Source organism: Homo sapiens, chromosome 3 (genome assembly GCF_000001405.40).
Source record: "Homo sapiens chromosome 3, GRCh38.p14 Primary Assembly".
In the NCBI taxonomy this organism is placed as follows: Eukaryota; Metazoa; Chordata; class Mammalia; order Primates; family Hominidae; genus Homo; species Homo sapiens.
The window spans coordinates 156,746,365-156,767,873 of NC_000003.12; the positions used below are offsets into that span (position 1 = coordinate 156,746,365).

General features: G+C 39.9%; 1 long non-coding RNA gene across 1 annotated transcript in view, besides 1 other annotated feature; it reads right to left on the reverse strand.

Annotated features, from left to right (window-relative positions):
- Positions 1-978: 978 nt before the first annotated feature.
- Positions 979-21,509, reverse strand: part of LINC00886 (long intergenic non-protein coding RNA 886) — a 69,720-nt gene continuing 49,189 nt past the window's right edge. The window contains exons 2-3 of the long non-coding RNA NR_038387.1: positions 4,731-4,819; positions 979-4,050 (exon numbers count right to left, since the gene is read on the reverse strand). This is a non-coding gene — a long non-coding RNA (long intergenic non-protein coding RNA 886). The remainder of the gene's footprint in view (positions 4,051-4,730; positions 4,820-21,509) is intronic.
- Positions 4,488-5,241: an enhancer, noted in NCBI's record as "OCT4-NANOG-H3K27ac-H3K4me1 hESC enhancer chr3:156468641-156469394 (GRCh37/hg19 assembly coordinates)". NCBI's record gives its function as "activates a minimal SCP1, AML or CMV promoter by ChIP-STARR-seq in primed H9 embryonic stem cells {active_cell/tissue: H9 hESC(primed)}" and the evidence as "EXISTENCE:reporter gene assay evidence [ECO:0000049][PMID:30033119]".

The following is a 21,509-nucleotide window of genomic DNA, read 5'->3' on the forward strand; positions in this document are numbered from 1 at the left end:
GAAATTTTAGCTCAAGAAAAGGCTGAACTTAGAAGACTTCACTAATAAGAGTATTTTAAGAATTATAAACAGAAATCAGACTACACTAAATAGTGTGTTTCTAAGCTGAGTACATGATAAATTACCTAACAGGCTGAAGAGGGAAATAAAGAACTGAGTTGTGGATTCACAGTCTTGTGAATGTGTCTGTAACTGGTAGCACTGGGTGAGCCCATTTGCTGTGCCCTCCAGCCTAAGGCCTCACAAGCACCTCAGCACCTGGATACTCCTAGGACTCCTCTGTTACCAGCCCCATGTGCTGGCAGTCACTGAGGCAATAGTGACATTGACCCAAATAAAGGAGTCAGAACCATGATATGGCACATAATTCAGTCTCTTCCAGGCCTCAACAATAACCATTTTGTATCCATAACTTCTCCTAAGAGATTTTGTTTCCCAAGTAATCACCTACTATAGCAGTTCTCTAAGATCCCTGGGGAGGCCAAGCCTACTTCAGGCGGTCCATTAGATCAATCTATTTCCATAATCACACCAAGATGCCATTTACCTTTTTCACTGTATTGACACCTGCACTGATGATGTCAAAGCAATGATGACGAAAACTGCCGATGCCTTAGCACAATTCAAGGCAGTAGCACCACACTATATTAATAGTTACTGTATTCTTTACTGCCACCCATTTCCTAGTACTCAAAAAAAAAAACCTGCCAGTTTCATTTAAGAGTGTCCTCAATGAAGCTGTGAAAACTACTCATTTTATGAGATCTCAACCCTGAAGTATACATGTTTCTAATACTCTGTGTTATGAAATGGGAACATGCATAAAGCACATACATCTGTTACATATGAAAGTACAATACTTGTCTGAAGGAAAAGCACTTGTGCAGTTGTTTGTGTTACAAGCTAAACTAGCCGTTTTTGTCATGGAGCATCACTTTTACTTGAAAGAATAGCTGTGAGACAAACTACAATTACTCATACTTGGGTAATTTGCCAGGCATTTATTGATTGAATAAATATTGTACTATATTCAGTGTATCAATGAATGCTTTTGGTTGCAAGGAACAGAAATGACTTTAACAGTAAGAAAATTACATCTCATAACTAGAAGTCAAGAGACAAAAGAGCTCAACAATGTTGTAAGATCCAGGTGCTTTCCGTCCCTCTGCTGTGACCCCTCAGTGTTGGATTTCCTTGTGCTGCAGGTAGCAAGACAGAAGCAGAATGTCCGAGGCATCATGTTTAGGCAGGACAATGTTCTGAGACATTTTTTTACCCTCCTGTGGCTTTCTCTTAGGGAAGAGGACACTTTTTCTAGATTGCCCCTGCAGACTCACATTTTATTGAGCTGAATTTGGTCACATGTCTATCCCTAAACTAATCCCTGGCCAGGGGAATGGGATATGCCTTTGGACTACTCAGGCCCAACATGGGGTCTAAAGGTGGGGTCAAGCTTCCCTGAGGCAAAGGCCTGATGGGTGAAGGGCTGATCACCCTTCCAAACAAAATTTGGGCTTTGTTAACTAGGAAGAAAAATGGGAGACTAGAAGAAACCTGTAGGCAATCACACAGGGACCACTCCATTCAGCAAATGAAGGTCTAGAACAGTGGTTACGAAATGCAGGTCAGCAGCCGGGCTACAAAGGAATCACCTGGGAGCTTGTTAAAAATATAGCTCAAAGTGTAATGTGCATATGAATTGCCTGGGGATCTTGTTAAAATACATATTCTGCATTTGCAACAAGCTCCCAGATAATATAGCCACTGCTGGCTTATGGACCACACTTTGAGTAGGAATGATACAGACCTTCAAATTATTGACTCAGAATCTCCCAAGTGATCCTGGTTTGAGAACTGGGTTCAATGTGGTGAACATCAACAATGTACAAGATTGGCATTCATTCATCCATTCACTCAATAAGTATTCATAGAAACCAAGCCCTGTGCTTACTGCTGAAACTACAAAGGGTCCACATGCTATTAGGGAGGAGGAGTGGGCTAACCTATATACAGTTATCTTTAATGTAAAGTGAGAAGGGCTCCAGTAGAGATATGCCAAAGCATTCTTCCATCTGATCTAGGAGCAAGGAGTGACTTAGTAGTGAAGGTGGGCTTGACAGGAAAGGTTTCACGGAAGAGGAGAGGACATTGGAGCTGAGCTTTCCTTAGGTGCCCAGAGTCAGACAATGTGTGTGCAAGAAAGCCTGGAAATATGAATGAGCCAAGTACATTCAGAGAACAGTGAGAATGTCTCTGTGGCTTATGTACAGGCTGAGATGGGGTGCTGGAAGGAAAAATTAGGCTGAGGCTAGATTATGAGAGGCTTTGAATGCTGTATTAAGTCACACTATAGCAGCTGTTCTCAACCTTGACTGCACTTGGGAGCTTTTAAAAATCCTGATGCCGGCCAGGGGCTGTGGCTTATGCCTGTAATCCCAGCACTTTGGGAGGCTGAGGCAGGTGGATCACCTGAGCTCAGGAGTTCAAGACCAGCTTGGGCAACACAGTGAAAGACCGTCTCCACAAAAAATACAAAAATTAGCCTGGTGTGGTGGTGCGTGCCTGTAATCCTAGTTACTTAGGGGGCTGAGGCAGGAGGATCTCTTGAATCTGGGAGATTGAGGCTGCAGTGAGCCAAGACTGCACACTGCACTCTAGCCTAGGTGACACAGTGAGACTCTGTCAAAAAAAAAAAAAAAGTCCTGATGCCCAGGCCACACCCTAGAGCTTAAAATTAAATTCTACTTTCTTTAGGGGCAGAAGAGGGAGGAAAGCAGGCATCAGTACCTTTTAGAGGAGGTGATCCAGTGTGTTGCCAAAGCTGAGAACCATAGCTCTACAAGAGCTAGTGCCTGTCCAACCTGTTTGCATAGAGCATGTTCTTCAATAAGGATAGAGCCCTTCCTTCCTAAATGTACTTTTCACTTCCATTTGATATTCAAAATCAGAATTATTAAAAACCGTTTTGGCCTGAGAGGTCATGTGATGGGCACTGAAATGGAACTCCCCTGCGCAAGGGCCTGTGGGATGCAGGCAGATGAAGCCTGCCCTTTGTTCCCCTGCCTGCATTGGTGAAAGCTGATCCCCGTGCAGCCGCTGTCACTGGGCAGAGGGCACGTTTTTCTCTCACTAGCCTAGACCACAGGGATCTTTGACTAGAAATATCTGCAAAGTGTTTGCTGAATGAGAACACATTTCATCACCCCACCCTCTTTTCCTAACTGAATGCCTGTTCAAGAATTTGGGTATATTTTTATTTGATAAGATGAAAAGATGAACTCTCCACATTATGAAGGCTAACAGAATAATCTTTTTGTAGGTGCTTCACAATATGAATTTGAAATGCTTGCTCTTGTTTTGATCCCTGTACTCAGGTGCCGAAATGTTATAGTTAGGAAAAGTTGTCCCTTCTCTCATTTATCAGCATTAAAGTTCCTGAAATAATCTTTAAAGTGTCCAAATGTTGCCATAAAATGTTCGTCACTATTGTCTCCTCAAGTTGCTGAATTTCTGGGATGTTTTGAATTTTTAAAATACATTTTAAGCACTTCAATATATAAAACAAACATAACTTAAAAAACAAAAAACAGCACTCTAAACTTTTTTACCATCTAACTCAGGCCCCCAGTTTTCAGTCAATAAATTATTCAACTCCCCCCGCCCCAACTTTAGTAGAATGGAACACGCTCTTCTGCTGTGTGACAATGGAGAAAGGAGGTTGATGTGTGCAACTGCCACAGCCCCCCACCTTCCTGGGAATGCTCGCCTGACTTTGGGCAGACATTGATGTGGCCCTAATGACTATTTTGACTGTGTTCTGTTTTACAGCTCTACCCAACACACAAGAGGTGAAGTACTGCTTTGTTTTCAGAATTAAACTGTCTCCCAGGAAGCCTTCTAGGGTCCCCTTTGCTTTTCCTTGGAAAGGCTCCAGATAAGAGACAGGCTATTGTTCCTCCACAGCAATTCACAGGCTTGCTTTTCAAATAATTTATCCAATCTCTTCCCTCCATGATAGCCTAGGCTTTCCCTACAATCACATGATGTGACCTGTAAAGAAAAATAAAACAAACACTTATCTGGAGTTCTGACTCAAAGAACTGGATTCTATGGAAATTACAGGCTTTTGCTCTGGCTGTACAGATGTGAGTAGGAATCCATGCATGGCTAATGCAGGAAGGGAACTGGCCTCCATGTGCACAGGCCTGCCAGTGTGTGGGTGGCCCAGGATGAAGCCAGACCCTCCTGGGCAAGCCTCAGCTGGGTTTGAGTCTCCGAGCAGGAGGCCTGGGACTCACACCTGTCCACTTAAAATGTGACAGCCCCCACCACTAAGCTTGCATTCACACAGCCCCAGAAGATGGACTGTCCCCAGCATCCTCACTTGTGTGGTGGCCTCTCATTCCTGTGGCCACTTTAACAGAGCTTGGCTCACCCAGGACCCTGCTTGGATACAAACAAGCTGGCCTTTGATGACAGGAAGGGAGTGGAGATTCCCTCAACGTCGGAGTTTTAATCTTGGTTCTGGGAGACATTACCTCCCTCTTTGTGGATCGCTGATTGCTTTCAAAACAACCAGGAATCATTTTACCTTACGGGGCTAGTGTGTGCTATGATTAATTTAGCTAGGCTCTTAGAAAACAGTAAATGGTGAGCAGCCCTGTTAGTTCCCTTTTTAGAAAGCACTTTAACACCCCTGGGCAGCTAGTTTGATGAGAAGTGCTACTCACCATGACTCTCATGCGCATTCCTTTTTCTTGACTGATTCTCGAAAGGCTTTTCAGTCCCTCTGATAAAAATGCACTGCTTCCAAATGAGTCTAAAAATTAAGCAGGAATACAAATTTTATCTTTAAAAAAATAAATCCTAATTTCTAATGAAGGAAAAACAAGAAATAATTTCATGCTAATTAGGAGGGAGACACATAGCCTGCATTTTGGAGATAAATAGGACAAGCTTTTGAGTTTAAAGTTTAACTGGAAAATGTCTGCCTCAAAGGAAAACTCAATTTGAAGAACTTGCTCACAGCTTAGGGATCTCACTCAAGCCATTCTTACCCTTTCCCCTTCTCTTTCCTTTCCTCTCCCACCCTCTCTTTCAATGCCGAACCCCAGAGGCCACGGGAGTGAGTCTTCACAAGGCGCATTAGTACATCTTGGGTGGTGCCGAAAAGCAGGGATTACAAATGCTGGAGACAGTTTGGCAGCGGATGTGCCTCAACCCAGCTCTGCGGATTCCACATTCTTCCCCTGGAGGGGAGCCGTCGCCGCGGTTGCCTGAAAGCCCATACTGCCAGCAGCCAGGGGTTCAGCAAATGCCTGGGGAGCTGAAGGGTTTTCTAGAAACCTGTCCAATCTCTGCCTCTTTCTCTGGGGTTGCACAAGGATGTGCCAAACTCAACCCGTTTGATAGTTTTAAACGTGCCGCTTACATGTGTTTTTAATTTTTATGTAATAAAGGAATGAATGCTTCATAATTAAAGACCAGTTGGTGATTAAAATCAGTTTCGTTGATGACTAACAAACACAAATAAAACCTGATATAAATCTTTATGAGATCTGTGAGGCCCACAGCAGCGACAGTTCCTCTTCTCCTGACCATGTTTTCTCTGAAGCAGCATGTCTCTCCACTTTCCCTCAGCTTTGTTTTGCCCTAGTAATTCTCTCTGGCTTCTACAATTGCCTATCCTTTAACCTCCTGTTTTTGATTACCAACTCGTGTTTATTTTAAATGTAGTTACTCGCCAATTAAATAGAAATTAGCTACATTTAGAGACAGGGTTCCTGATTACTGCTTTTCCTTTGGCAACTGTTAATTCTTCTTTAGGCAATCCTGAAAGCAGAAATCCCAAGGTCCAGATCACCTTGCCAGGGCACCTTAGGGTAGCTACCTGTTAAATCCAGAGTTGAAGGAATCAGGGATGAGATGCTCGCTTCACCTGTTGGGACCTGGAGCAAGTTGGGCTGTACTGGAGACGTTTCCTGTTGTAATTCAGTTAACTCTTTTTTTTTTTTGACGGAGTCTTGCTGTGTTGCCCAGGCTGGAGTGTGGTGGTGGGATCTTGGCTCACTGCAACCTCTGCCTCCTGAATTCAAGCCATTCTCCCACCTCAGCCTCCCGAGTAGTTGGGATTACAGGCGCCTGCCACCATGCCTGGCTAATTTTTGTATTTTTAGTAGAGACAGTGTTTCACCATGTTGGCCAGGCTGGTCTCGAACTCCTGACCTCAAGTGTTCCACCTGCCTCGGCCTCCCAAAGTGCTGGGATTACAGGCGTGAGCCACTGGCCCGGCCAACCCATTTTTGATTCAAGACAGACTCTCCTCCAGAAGGAGGAGGAAGAGGAGGAGGTGGGGGAGGAGGAGTGGAGCGGAGGTGGGTAGAGGAGGAGGAGGAGGAAGAGGAAGAAGAAGAAAAAGAAGGAGGAGGAGGAGGAGGGAGAGAAGGGGAAGAAGCCATCTTCAACTTTTGTTTTTTAGGGCAGCTGAAATCCATCTTCCTTTTCACCCAAACACTGATACAGCTGCCTGTTTGGGTGAAGGAGAGGCTCCCTTTCTGGGTTGGATAGAGCACATAGGCTATAGCAGTCAGCATCAGGGAACAGTCAACATGTAGCCTTCCTATTTTTAAATCAAAGCCATTGTGCTAATCACCCAGATAATCTGATATGGATATCATTTATTCTAAAATGAGAACAAGAAACACATCTGTGACAGAATTCATTAGTGCAGTCCTTTTTCAGTCCCAACATGTGCTTCTGCAGATTGCATATGTCTATATAAATTCTATAGGTTGTATTTCAATTTATATTGCTTCTTCATGAGGAAATGTCTTCTCCCGTTGCTGTGGTTTGAATATTTGACCCCTCCAAACCTCATGTTGAAATTTGAGCCCCAGCATTGGAGGTGAGGCCTGGTGGGAGGTGTTTGGGTCATGGGGGTAGGTCCCTCATGGGGGCAGGTCCCTCATGGGGGCTCTCTTGCCATGTGAGCTCTGCATACAGCAGTTCCCCTTTGCCTTCCACCATGAGTAGAAGCAACCTGAAGTCCTCAACAGAAGCAGATGCTGGCACCATGATTCTTGTACAGCCTGCAGAACCAAAAGCCAAATAAACTTTTTTCTTTATAAATTACCCAACCTCAGGTATCCCTTTATAGCAACTCAAAGATGCTTACAAGGGTCAATTAACTTGGTTTATAATAGCAAAAAGTGGAAAATTCCCTAAAGGCACAATAATAAGTGATTGGGATTGGTTAAATAAAGTAAATTACATATTCATTTAATGAAATACAGTTTAGCCATTAAAAATGGAAAAAAAGGACTTACCACTCTATAGAGAGATAGAAGAGACATCACTCTTACACTTACAATGAAAGTAACTGAGTTAACTTCAAATTCAGAACTTTCTTTGAACTTATCAGAGAGCTAAAGTGTCAGAACAAACAGGCTCAAAATCTGAAGGCACTGGGGTCAGCCTGATGCCTGAGGACACAGAATAGACTGGGTGTTGGAGCATCTTAAAAGTTTTGTCCACAATTTCCAGCCTGGAGACTGGGACCATGGGGGCTTGCATGGCACCAGGTTTCACTGGGGCAGGTCTGGTGCTGTTTTCCAAAGTTTCTTAGGGGAGCTGAAGGGTTTTCTGGAAACCCTCACTTAGCTGACCCTTACTCAGGTCAGCTTATTTCTTCCCCATCCCTTTCAGAGAAGTTATATGATTAATTTGTAGCATAGTAAAATGCATTTATCACAATCTGCATTCCATCTTTTCTCTTACATCCTGGTTGAGGTTTTGTTGTTGTTTTAATTTTACTTTAAGTTCTGGGATACATGTGCAGAAAGTGCAGGTTTCTTACACAGGTATACACGTACCATGGTGGTTTGCTGCACCTGTCAATCCGTCATTTAGTTTTAAGCCCTCCCTCCCCTTGCCCAACAAGGGAGGGAGACAGGCCCCCAACAGGCCCCGGTGTGTGATGTTCCCCTCCCTGTGTCCATGTGTTCTCATTGTTCAACTCCCACTTATGAGTAAGAACATGGCAGTGTTTGGTTTTCTGTTCCTGTGTTAGTTTGCTGAGATTGATGTCTTCCAGCTTCGTCCATGTCCCTGCAAAGGACATGACCTCATTCTTTTTTATGGCTGCATAGTATTGCATGGTGTATATGTGCCACATTTTCTTTATCCTGGTTGAGTTTTTAAAAAAATTTACATGTAATAAAATTCACTTCTTGTGGTACAGTTCTATCAGTGTTGGCAAATGCACAGAACTGTACTATGGACCACTATAATTCTATACATAATAATTCCATGACCCCAAAGTTTCCTTGTGCTACTCCTTCATAGAAAACCCACCCCCCAACCCCTGATCCGCTACCTACTCATCTGTTTTCCTCCCTATAGTTTTGCTTTTTCCAGAGTGCCATATGAATAGAATCAAACAATTCTGGGTCCAGCCTCTCAAAATGCAGGTAAGATTTATCTATGTTGCTTTGTGAATCAATAGTTCATTCGGGTTTATTGCTGGTGGCATTCCATTACATGTATGTACCACAATTTGTAGTACATCTAGGTTGTTTCCAATTTTTAAATTAGCTACAAATATTTACCTATAGGTGTTTGTATTGTAGGAGACCAGAATATGCCACCTCAAATTATGCTTCTTTGGCATATGGATTGTTTTGTGCTAATCATTTTGAGAAACTGTAGATGCAGAAGAAGATCTGAAAACAGAGCAGAAGTTACCCTTTTATAAAGGACATTTATGTCTATAAAGGAAATCTCTATTTATAAGGGTGTCTCCCTATGTACTATGAAGAGAAGGATGACATTACATCACTAGGGACTCTTATCAATGGACAAGGCACCGGACTTAAATCTGTGTAAGAAATCTTACCCTTGTTATCCTGCCTTCCTGGGCATCTCCTTATGTTTTTCCTTCCTCACATCCTTCCCTCTTTGTTTCAGTAGACAATTGTATTTAAGCCTGAATTCAAAGCCACACCTTTGGGATTTACTTATTTCTCTGGGTATCTCCCATGTATACATAAGGTATACATGCTGTTAAATTTGTTTGTTTTCCTCTTGTTAATCTACCTTTCGTTATAGGAGTCTGTTCTAACTAAGAATTTGAAGGGTAGAGAGAATCCTCTCCTATAGTTTGCACATCTTTTCTATTGTTTTGGATATATAGCTAGGCATGAGATTGCTGGGTCGTATGGTAGGTATATGTTTAACTTTATAAGAAACTGCCAAACTGTTTCCCAAAGTGGCTGTGCCATTTTGCATTCCTACCAGCAATGTATATGAATTCCAACTGCTCAAAATTCTCACCAGCACTTCATATTGCCAGGTTTTAAAATTATAGCTATTCAAATAGGCATGTTGTGGGTTTTTTGGTGTGGTTCTAATTTGTATTTCCCTAATGATTACTAAAGAGCATTTTTTTATTATGCTTATTTTACATCTAAATATGTTCTTTTTTGGGGGTGGGAGGGGGGATGGAGTCTTGCTCTGTTGCCCAGGCTGGAGTGCAGTGGCGTGATCTCAGTTCACTGCAACCTCCACCTCCCAGGTTCAAGCAATTCTCCTGCCTCAGCCTCCCAAGTAGCTGGGACGACAGGCGCGTGCCACCATGCCTGGCTAATTTTTCGTATTTTTAGTAGAGATGGGGGTTTCACCGTGTTAGCCAGGATGGTCTCGATCTCCTGACCTTGTGATCTGCCCACCTCAGCCTCCCAAAGTGCTCAGATTACAGGCGTGAGCCACCGTGCCTGGCCTAAATATGTTCTTTAGTAAAAACTCTGTTTCAATTTTTTGTTTTTAAAAATTGGGTTTTTTGTTTTCTGGTTGTTGAGTTTATGAGTTCTTTATATACTTTGGATATAAGTCCTTTGACAGATGTGATTTTAAAATATTTTCTCTCAGTTTGTGGCTTGTCTTTTTTATTCTCTTAAAGATCCAAAGTTTTTGCAGAACAAAAGTTTTTTTAAAAATTTAATACAGTTCATCAATTTTTTTCTTTCATAAATCACACTTTAGGTGTCATATCTAAAACCTGTTTTCCTAACTCAGGATTTCTCAACAGATGCAAAATTGACATTTTGGACCAGATAATTATTTGTTATGGGGACCTATCCTGTGCCTTGTTGGATGTTTAGCAGTATTCCCGGCCTCTACCCATCAATGCCTGTAGTGTGCATGTGTGCATGCATGTGCAAACACACATACACAGGCCACAATTATAACAATAAAAAATATTGCAGACATTGTCAAATGTCTCCTGAACTACAAAGCTGAACTTTGTTCAGTGGCCTAACCCAAGGTCATACACACATTGGCCAGGCTGGTCTTGAACTCCCAACCTCGTGATCCGCCCACGTTGGCCTCCCAAAGTGCTAGGATTACAGGTGTGAACCACTGCGCCCGGCCTGCCTTTCTCCTGTTTTTTTCTCAAAAAAGTTTTATGGTTTTATGCTTTATGTTTAGGTCTATGATCCATTTTGAGTTAATTTTATATGAGATGTGAGATATAGACTGGGGTTCTTTTTTGTCTTTTTAGTATATGGACTGCTATGGTTTAAATGTTTGTGTTTCTCCCAAAATTTACAAGTTGAAATCCTAACCCTCAAGGTGATGGTATTAGGGGGTAAGGCTATGACAGGTGGTTAGTTAATGAAGGTCCTTATAAAAGGGAACCCAGAGAGTTCATTGGCCTTTCTGCCATGTGAAGACACAGCGAAATAATGGTTGTCTATGGACTACAAAGCCGGCATTCCCTAGACAGTACATTTTCCCACACCTTGATCTTGGAATTTCCAGCTTCCAGAACTGTGAACAATAAATTTCTATTGTTTATGAGCCACCCAGTCTATGATATTTTGTTATGATAGCCCAGATAGACTAAAATGTGGACATTCAGTTGTTCCCAGGCCATTTATTTGAAGAGACTTTCTTCTCTCTATTGACTTGCATTTGTATCATTGTCAAAAATCAGTTGACTGTATTTATGTGGGTTTATTTCTGGTTTCTCTTCTCTGTTCCATTGATATATGTATCTGTTGTTTCTACATTACCACAGTCTTCGTTACTGTAGCATTACAATAACACTTTAAATTAGGGAGCCCTTCAACATTATTTGTTTTCAAAAATTTTTGGCAAGTCTAGTTCCTTTGCCTTTCTGTATAAATTTTTAAACCAGCAGTCAACATCTACATAAAAGGCTGCTGGAATTTTGATTGAAATTTCACTGAATCAGTATAACAAATTGGGCAGAATTAACATCTATCTTAACAATACTGAATCTTCTCATCTATGAACATGGTATATTTCTCCACTTATTTGGATCTTCTCAGATTTTTTCTTCAGTGTTTTGTACTTTTCAACATACAGATCCCACATAATTTGTTTCAGTTTTATACTTATGTGATTTTTTTGTGCTATTATAAATGGTATTGTTATTTTAATTTTGAATCCCAATTTTCCTGCTATTATATAGAAATACCATTGATTTGTATGCGTTGACTTCATATCCTGAGACTTTATTAAATTCATTAGTTAGTTCCAGGAAGTTGTGTGTAAGTTGTTTAGAAATATCTATATAGGAAATCTACATAGTTATGTTATCTGCGAATAGAGCTGACATCCCCTTTATTTCTATGTCTTGTCTTATTATAATGGCTAGTATTCCCAGGGTGATATTAAATGCAAATTGTGAAAGAAGATACCTTTGCTTTGTTCTCCATCTCCAGGAAAAGGTCTTCAGTCTTTTACCATTAAGTGTGATGTTGTGATGTTAGACGTAGATTTTTTTGTAGATATTTTTTATTAATTTAAGCAATCTTTCTTTCTTTTCTTTTCCCTTTCTTTCTCTCTCTCTCTCTCTTTCTCTCTTTCTTTTTTTAGATGGAGTTTTGCTCTTGTTGCCCAGGCTGGAGTACAATGGAAAGATCTTGGCTCACTGCAACCTCCACCTCCCAGGTTCAAGCGATTCTCCTACTTAGCTGGGATTACAGGTGTGTGCCACCACGCCCAACTAATTTTTTTTGTATTTTTAGTAGAGATGGGGTTTCACCATGTTGGCCAGGCTGGTCTTGAACTCCTGACTTTAGGTGATCCGCCTGCCTCGGCCTCCCAAAGTGCTGGGATTACAGGCATGAGCCACCACGCCCAGCCGCGAGTTTTCTTTTATTTCTACTTTGCTGAAAGTTTATATCATGAGTACAAGTGGAATTTTGTCAGATGCATTTTCTGTATCTATTTTCTTTTGTAATCTGTTAATAGCTTACAATGATTGATTTTTTTAAAAGTTGAACCAGTCTTACATTCCTTAGATCAATGCCACTTGGCAATGGTGTATTATCTGTTGTATATATTAAATTTTAATTTTAAAAATTAAAACATACATATACATATAAATATTTACAGAAAATTTACAGAAATAGATATATAGATAGATCTATGTGTATGAGTTAGTGTGTATACAATATGTGTTTATATATGTATATATGTATGTATATATATGTATATATGTGTATATATATCTATGTGTATGATTGTGTATATATACACATACACACACACGCAGAGATATATATCTGCATATATCTCCAAGCTGTATCCACTGAAAGGAGTTAGAAACAATGATATCTCAGTTAAAAGGAGAGCACCTAACTCCTAATGATACTGGTTTCTAAATACTGTCCTCCAACAATAGGAACCAGGAATCACTGGAGAACTATCTGATTCTAGGGCTGGGGCAATGAAATAAATATGAGTCTGGATATCTTGTGGTGTTTTTCAATGTAAGGAAATTTAAAAAAAAAATAAAAAGAAAAAAACATAAAAAATGTGCAGGAACCAATCTGAAAAAGCTCCCATGAAAGAATTTGAGCAACAAAATAAATAATAAGAGTACAATGTTAGTTTGTAACTAAAAGAATGAGTACAATGTTAGTTTATAACTAAAAGAATAAATTAAATATCCATGATCCCACAAATAAATGAATAAATGATTAAATAAATACATAAGTGGGAGAAAAGGAAAGCTCTTCTTTAGAAAAGAATCTCAGTTATTATAAATATAGAAGGCCTGGGGAAAATACAAAAGTACCATTAAACCCCATAGTAACCATTGCTGCAGGTTAAATCCTCCAAGGATGCTAAAAAGAATGGGTGAATGTTTAAGTAGAAACAGAATTGTGCATAGTCTCCAAGTATCTCTGTACTACTTTTTATGACTCTTCTTTAACTTCAAAACTATTTCTAAATAAAAATTAAAATATAATAAGGGAGAGAATACTTAGTGATGTGGAAAAATGTTTATGATCTATTACATTTTAAAAAGCCATTAGATTCCAATTTTATGCACCTACACACTTATACACACATGAACACACAACTAATTAAAAAAATTAAAATTTGATTTAAAATAGCTTAAACCAAAATGTAAGACATAGGTATCTCTTGGTGGTAGCATAGAGTGCAATAGTAGTGATTTCAGTTTTATAGCATCATTATTATTATTATTGCTTATCAAATATTTTCTAAAATTTTCTATCATGACCATGCGTTCATATTAGAATAAAAAATATATTTAAAACATTCCTGGAGGATATGTTTCATGCTTCATATTCTGCATTGTGTTGAAAACAATAGTGGGTGCTGTCAAAGTGAATTGTTGAATTGAAGCAGTGCCTTGTTATTTTCTTTTGCAAAATAGATCATCATCCACCTAATTTATATTTGTATACAGAACCTATCTTAGTGCTTTGGATAAAATACTCAGTAATAGTTGAGTTATAAATATAGGTTTTGCTCTATTTAAGTTAGTATGAAGTTAAGAACATCTGGAAAAATAACATGTATAGCATCTGATAAATAGAAATCACAGAAAACATTTAGTGCTAAACATTATCCTAAGCACTTTACATATCTTAATTTATTCAATCCTTAGCACAACGCAGAGGGGCAAGGATAGTACTATTACCCTCATTTTACAGATGAAGAAACCAGGGCACAGAGATTAAGTAATTTGCACAAGGTAACACAGCTATAGCAAGTGGCAAGCAGTGATATAAAGCACTTCTACATTTATTGTTATTTAACTTCTCACAGCAACTCATTGAGTTAGGTGTCTTTATCTCCAATTGTCAGATGAAGAAACTGAAGCTCAGAGAAGTAAGTGACTGGCCTAACTGAAAGTGTCAGGGCTGGGACACTTGACCTCAAAACCCTTGCTGTTTCAGCTATAACATGATGCCTCATGCATTAACATGAAGTGGGCAAACCAAAACAGGATATTACCAGAGAGCTGTCAAGACACATCTCCAGTGGAGAACTCCACATGTGGATTAGTTCTTTCCCAAGTCTGCTTAAATTTCACACCATCCACCTACATGTTTTTTTTTTTTTTTTCCCTACCAGCTGAGAATGGTGACATTTCTTCTTCTCTGGTCTAAATCAGAAAAACTTGCAGCACTACAACCACCAGAGAAGGTATATATTAGCTTACAGAGGTTTTTTTCCCCCTCTTCCTTAATTTAAAGAGGCAGAAAAAAAAAGAAAGATACAATCCTGCTTCCATTCCTGTCTGTGAGAAAGTGACTGTGGGCATTCTCAGGCAAAAAATAAAGTAACTTCATTTTTAGAGTAAATGCCCTGTTGACAAGTTGGCAGGGCTGCCTTGTTTGGAAAAGAATGTGCAGAAAACTCAAAGGATAATTAGTGTGTGGTAGCCTAACAGCATGCAGCAGGGCTGTAACGTGTCTGGCAGAGGCAGATGTGGCCACACAGTTCATTAACGCTGTAAAGTTTGTTTAATTCCAGTTGGGGTAATTAGAGAAGGCTCTAGAACCTGCCTAGAGCTCCAAAATAGACTCTGATCTCAGCAGCAGTGGGGTGGATCTAAGCCACCACAGTGGGCCCCAGGAGATCAGAAGATTAGAATTCCTCACAAACCCATTTGCTTTTCTTTGACAATCATCTCTGCATTGGCCATGATGACAGAGGGGAGGAACAGCATGATGGTCACAATAAAGGAGAATTTTTAAACTGGCTTTAAAATGCACGCTATGATGATTCCATTATTTAGCTTATCTCTTAACTTATATTTTGCTTAAGTGTCCATTAAAATCACAGGAGTTTCTCATTTTTATAGAGTGAATAAATTTTAGTAAAATTGTTTATGAAGTAATTTTTCTATTAATGTAGTTTTGTCTTTCTAACAATTTCTTTTAAGAAAATTAAAGCTGTTCCATTGGAGAAAAAAATTAGCTAGGTAATATTGGATGTTTTGTTTATAAAAATGCTTGATAGGCCTTTGAGAATTGTATCACTTTTCTGATTTTTCTCCTATCCTTACTTTCTTTTTTCTCCCTTCTTTTCATATTGCTCTTCCTCAGACCATGGAAATCACACCTGTGCCCAAGATTCTCTGTCTCCACATTCACAACTCTTGAAATTCAGCTCTGATAGATCTCTTTCTGCTTGTGTATTTATACTGCCCAACAGAGCTAGGATGCACTATTACACATAGCGAATAGATGCCGCTTTAAAATATGAAGGAGCCCCGACTTGATGTATCCACTTAGTAATTCTCTCGTGCAAATGAGTATTGCATTTTATAAGTTCATTGGACCTGAAAAATCTATCACATGAATTTGTTTATAATGCTACACTTGCAGTGTATACTTTCTGATCCTAGCAACTGATGTGAGGGAAGCAATCCAGCTATGCTGAGCAAATAGGGAAAGCTGAGCTGCTGCTAGATATTTTTCAAAAGTTTTCCTCTATGTGGTTAACTGGCCAATAGAAAACCAAGTGGCTTTGAGTCTTTTTAAAAAAAATAAATAAGAACAGATTTTTTTTTCTAGGTTACATGTGTAGTCTGTCAGAGAACACAACTATTTGCCAAATTCCTATAGCCCCTGTCTTTAGCAGAAGAAAGAGAACATGTGTGGCTTTTGTTTATAGCTGTAGGTCAGTGTGGTGTGTCACTGATCTGATCAATGCTACCATGTACCCTGGGCATGACTCCAGCCTCCCAGCAAAGGATTGCTGTATCTTTCCAGGATTTGCATTGAGACATTACGTATGTTTTCTGTCTCTCTTTTTACCTGTCTTTTCCTGACTGCCTAGGAGGGGTAAACTTGCTTCACTTACCCATCCATCACCCATTTGGACTCCCACATCTATTTTTCTATGGAGTAAGGCAAAAATAATTGTGAGACTTCTCTCCTACCACTTTAGAGGAGTGGTGACCAACATCCCCAACAGAAAGCTTATTGTTGGTACCATGCCCAGTCCGGCTTCTTATCCCTGGTGAAACTGAGTAGTTCAATGAGAACAAGATATTACCCAAAGCCAGCTCCATTCAGCAAATGGTGTAGGCTTGCTGGCTTTGTTTCCTCAGCTCTGGAGTTCATCACACCATAAACCACAGGGACTTTGTAGGCATGTTATTGTATTAGCACCATACGGAGACTACTCATGGAACTCACATGCAGAGTGTGTGATGTCAGAGAAGTTGACACGAATCCAAATTTTGTGCAGCTGTTAGACACAGATGTTTCATTTCATTTTTTATGTCAGCACCATCCCAATAAATCCACTGATCGTGAGATTAAAAAGTAAAGAAAGCTCTGTGTGCTTACACATGTTTCAGAGCCAGGAAGCTCTATACCACTTATATGCAGATGTACACTCACTACCAGGGGTCACATCAGGCTATGGCTCTCATACTCATAGAAGGACAAACATAGCTGTGGAAATCAATAGGAAAGCAAATGCAAAAGGACAGTAGCCTTCACTCAAATCAGAAACTATTATCTAGAATCAGATGCACTCTTTGCAATAGGTGCCTGCAAAGGAAAATTTCAGGGTGGACATCACAGTTTCTTCAGAAGACATTTGATAAAAATCATTTATTAAAATGAATTGGCTTCTGAAAAGTCTTGGCTAATAAGTCTCCCTGACTCTACCTTACAAGGCTGTCTTGGGTTTGCCTTCATCGGGGCAAGATATATCACTGTCTTTTACCAGTAAAAGAAAACCTTCAAAGATTGCCACCCAAATAATACTCATATTCAAAAACAAATAGCTCTCAATGTTTCCCTGGATTTTAGAAGGCTACACACATGTTTTTAAATGCCTGGATTTTTAATTTATATGTATTTATGACTCCCCATAATATGACTAGATGTGTTATTTAAAAATAAATGCTGAGACTGGATTTTCTGTTCTTCATTTTGGATAGGTTGTGGTTCTTAATGACTTCATAAAGAAATAGAACTTTGGGGATAAAAAAAAGAGGGCAAGAATTCTCTGCTTTTCTGGACTGGTGTGGGCACACTTTCTGACCCCAAATTACGACTTTGTTTCAGGTTTTATTCTCCGTCTTTGCCTCATCCTTATCACCTCACTCCAGGGACTTTTACAGAGTCATCTTCTTGCATTGTGAGATGGCAGAGTAAAGCCTTGCACACATATTGCCCTGTCTGAAAGTGGCTCATGCACAAGAAACATGTGGAATTGTTTGTTTGACTTGTCTCCCCTCCCCATCATGTTTTGTTGTACTTTTTTTTTTTTAATCGGAGAAAACAAAACAAAACTACTCCAGCTTATCTTCTGAAGAAGATAGAAAACATTCAACTGCAATATGCTGTGAACATTTTAGGGCATGCTTCTCATTTCAGATGCATGGCGTGCCTAGCTACTTAAGACAGAAAATCCCCTGCTGTGTTCTCTAGGCAGGCACTAGAGCAGATTTTGTGAGATGCTGGACTCAGTTTAGACTCTGGCTCTTAATGCTCAGTCATTAAACTGCCATAGGAGATGTAACTCTATTTGGTATTTTGGGGAAGATCCACTATGTGGCTCCTCCCAGATTTGGTGGGGAGAAGAAATGGATTTCAATTTAGCAACAAGGGAAAAGTGTGCTTGACATGTGGCTTACTCAATTTGATTTGGAAGATATTGCTCTTTGAACAGAAAGTTACGCTCCATTGCACCATCAACTTCAAAGATTCTTTTTTTTGTTTTGTTTTGTTTTGTTTTGTTTTGAGACGGAGTCTTACTCTGTCACCCAGGTTGGAGTGCAATGGCTTGGTCTTGGCTCACTGCAACCTCCAACTCCCGGGTTTAAGCGATTCTCCCGCCTCAGCTACTCCCGAGTAGCTGGGACTACAGGCACGTGCCACCACACCCGGCTAGTTTTTGTATTTTTAGTAAAGATGAGGTTTCACTATGTTGGCCAGGCTGGTCTCAAACTCCTGACCTCGTGATCAGCCCATCTTGGCCTACCAAAGTGCTGGGATTACAGGTGTGAGCCACCGTGCCCTGCCAACTTCAAAGATTCTTGAAACTCTCTGGACCTGGTAAAAGATGCTAAAGGTCTCAGGGTCCCTTTTGAGTACAATGCTGGCCAGACTGTCATAACTCAGGGGAGGGAACTCATGTAACAGCCCATGCCTGACAAGAAACTGCTGGAAATTCTTACCTAGGAAAATCAGAAGGTTTGCATGGAGGCCTCATGACAATCATAACAATTACACAAATGCCTCAAGTCGTGAAAGCTAAACCTTGTGAAAGGTTCAGCTCTTGGTGAATGAGACTCTTTTGAATGTTTTTTTTAATCATTCTTTTTGTGACTCATGCCACTCAAGACTAAGCTGTCATCCTTCTATTAATAATCATATTGTTTTCCCTGTGATATATATCCATTTAATGAGTTCATGTAGGAATTTGCAGCATAAAACAAATCTTATAAAAAAGTTATATTCTTTATATATATATATATATATATATTTTTTTTTTTTTTTAATTTCCTTTTGAGACAGGGCATTCCTCTGTCACCCACGCTGGAATGCAGTGGTGCTATCTTGGCTCACTGCAACTTCTGCCTCCTGGGCTCAAGCAATCCTCCCACCTCAGCCTCCAGTGTAGCTGGGACTACAGGCACACACCACAATGCCCAGCTAATTTTTTGTATTTTATTTAGAGGGGAGTTTCACCATGTTGCTCAGGCTGGTCTCAGCTCCTGGGCTCAAGTAATAGGCCTGCCTCGGCCTCCCAAAGTATTAGGATTACAGGCGTGAGCCACGTGCCTGGCTGTACTCTTATATTATTGCTGTTTTCTATATCCCTCACTCTCAACACCTCATTCCCTGAAAAGATAACTCATCTTTGAGTTGAAAAAGAAATCCATTAACTCTTTCACTGCAGAAAATCCTCTAGACTGTTCCTACCAAGGTAATGAGAGACTTAATGATCAGATAGTCAAACACATGTGATGAGAATACATAAAATTTATAGGTGGACTAACCAAACTCCTTTTTGGCTTTATCCCAAATAGGCAGTTTATATGTCTGATAATCTAATTTACCAAGAAATATTTATTTCAAATATTTGATCATAATTTTTTGTTCTCTTATCCTTCCAGTATTTTAATTATGCATATATTACCCCTTTTGATATTGTCCACAGTTCTTCATTGTTCTGAGTTTTTGAGATTCTTCTTCCTCTTTGTGCTTCAATTTGGGAAGTTTCTATTTAAACTATGTTCAAATGCACTGATTCTTTTTTTTCTTCAGCTATGTCCAGTAGGTAAACCTGTTGAAGACATACTTCATTTTTATTACAGTTTTCCATTTCTAGTATTTCCTTTTGTTTCTTATATTAATAGTTTCTATCTCTCTGCTGACATTATCCATTTGGTGTTACATGCTGTTTATTTTTCCATTTGAGCCCATAACATAAATCAGTAATTTTAAATTCCTTGTGTGATAATTCCAATATCTGTGTCTTATCTGATTCTAGTTCTGATGATCTCTCTGTCCCTTCTTCTGGCTGTCCCTTTCTTATCTTTTAGTGTGCCTTGTGATTTTTTGTTGAGAGCCAGATATTATGTATTTCTTTCTTTTTTTTTTTTTTTTGAGATGGAGTCTCACTCTGTTGCCCAGGCTGGAGTGCAGTGGCACAATCTTGGCTCACTGCAACCTCCGCCTCCTGGGTTCAAGTGATTCTCCTGCCTCAGCTTCCTGAGTAGCTGGGATTACAGGCACATGCCACCATGCCCAGCTAACTTTTGTATTTTTAGTAGAGTCGGGGTTTCACCATGTTGGTCAGGCTGGTCTCGAACTCCTGACCTTGTGATCCTCCCGCCTCGGCCTCCCAAAGTGCTGGGATTACAGGCATGAGTCATTGCACCCAATCAATATTATGTATTTCTAATAGGTACTGAAGTAAACAGGCCTTTGGTGTGAGGATTTATGTTAATCTGGCCTGGAGTTGGGTTGTGTTTAATTATTGTTGTAGCTGTAAGTTCCAGAGGCTTCAAATTCCTCTAGTGTCCTTGTTTTTTTCCTCTCTCTTGCCTTTGTGGTTCCCTTTGTATTGCCACTCAGAAAGAGTCTAGATCATGCAGTTCTTTCAACTGTAATCCATTGAAAGTATATTGATATGGTGGTAAAGTATGGAGGAGGGGAGATGTTCTATAATCTTCTAATTAAGTCTCTCTCTTTCAGTGGGCCTATGTCTCAGGGCTGTGGCCTTCACAAGTGTTTCTGTCCCTCTTCCCTGATATAAGATCCCACATCACCCGACCCCTCCTTCTCCTACCATACTCTATTCCTAGTGCCCTACTATGTTTGTTTTGGTTTTCCTTTTGTTTCTTTTAGGTTAGACAGGAAGGCTAGTAAGTGGAGTAGGGTGACAATCCACTCCACCAGGTGGAATAAGGCTTCAGTATTGCCCTATACAGTAGTCTTCACTTATTTGTGGCTGATACCTTCCAAGAACCCCAGTGGATGCCTAAAACCTCAGATAGTACTGAACTCTACATATGCTATGTTTTTTTTTCCTATGCACCTGTGGTAAAGTTTAATTTCTGCATTAGGCACAGTAAGAGATTAACAATAACTAATAATGAAATAGAAAAATTATAATGACATACTGTAATAAAAGTTATGTGAATGTGATTTCTCTCTGAAAATATCTTTACAGTATAGTATAGTGTACTATACTATACTATACTATACTATACTATACTATACTATACTATACTATACTATACTACAGGTAACAAACCATGAAAAGCAAAACTATGGATAAGTGGGGGGAGACTATTGTAGTACAGACTTTACCCTTGGAGAGTAGGCTTTTGTTATAGAGAAGAATCTGGGAGGGTTACACTATTGTTACTCTTTCCATCTCCCTTCCAGGGCCACAAGGGGGGTTTTCTTAGCTCCTTACCCTGAGAACCTGGTGGGATTCCGAGGGAGAAAGACCTCAAAATTGTGGGAAGAAGTATTTAATACCCCTATGATTGTGGATAATGTGTTCTCACTGTCACATTAGTCCACACTCAACTTATAGTAATTCTTCACATTTACCAGTGAAGTAAATGTTGCCACTCTTATTCCTCCAGTGGCTTCTGCTGTATCTCTCTGGATGCACCTGTCTCCAGATCTCAGGGTGTGGTTTACTCTGAAAGTTCAGTTCTCTCATAGATCCAA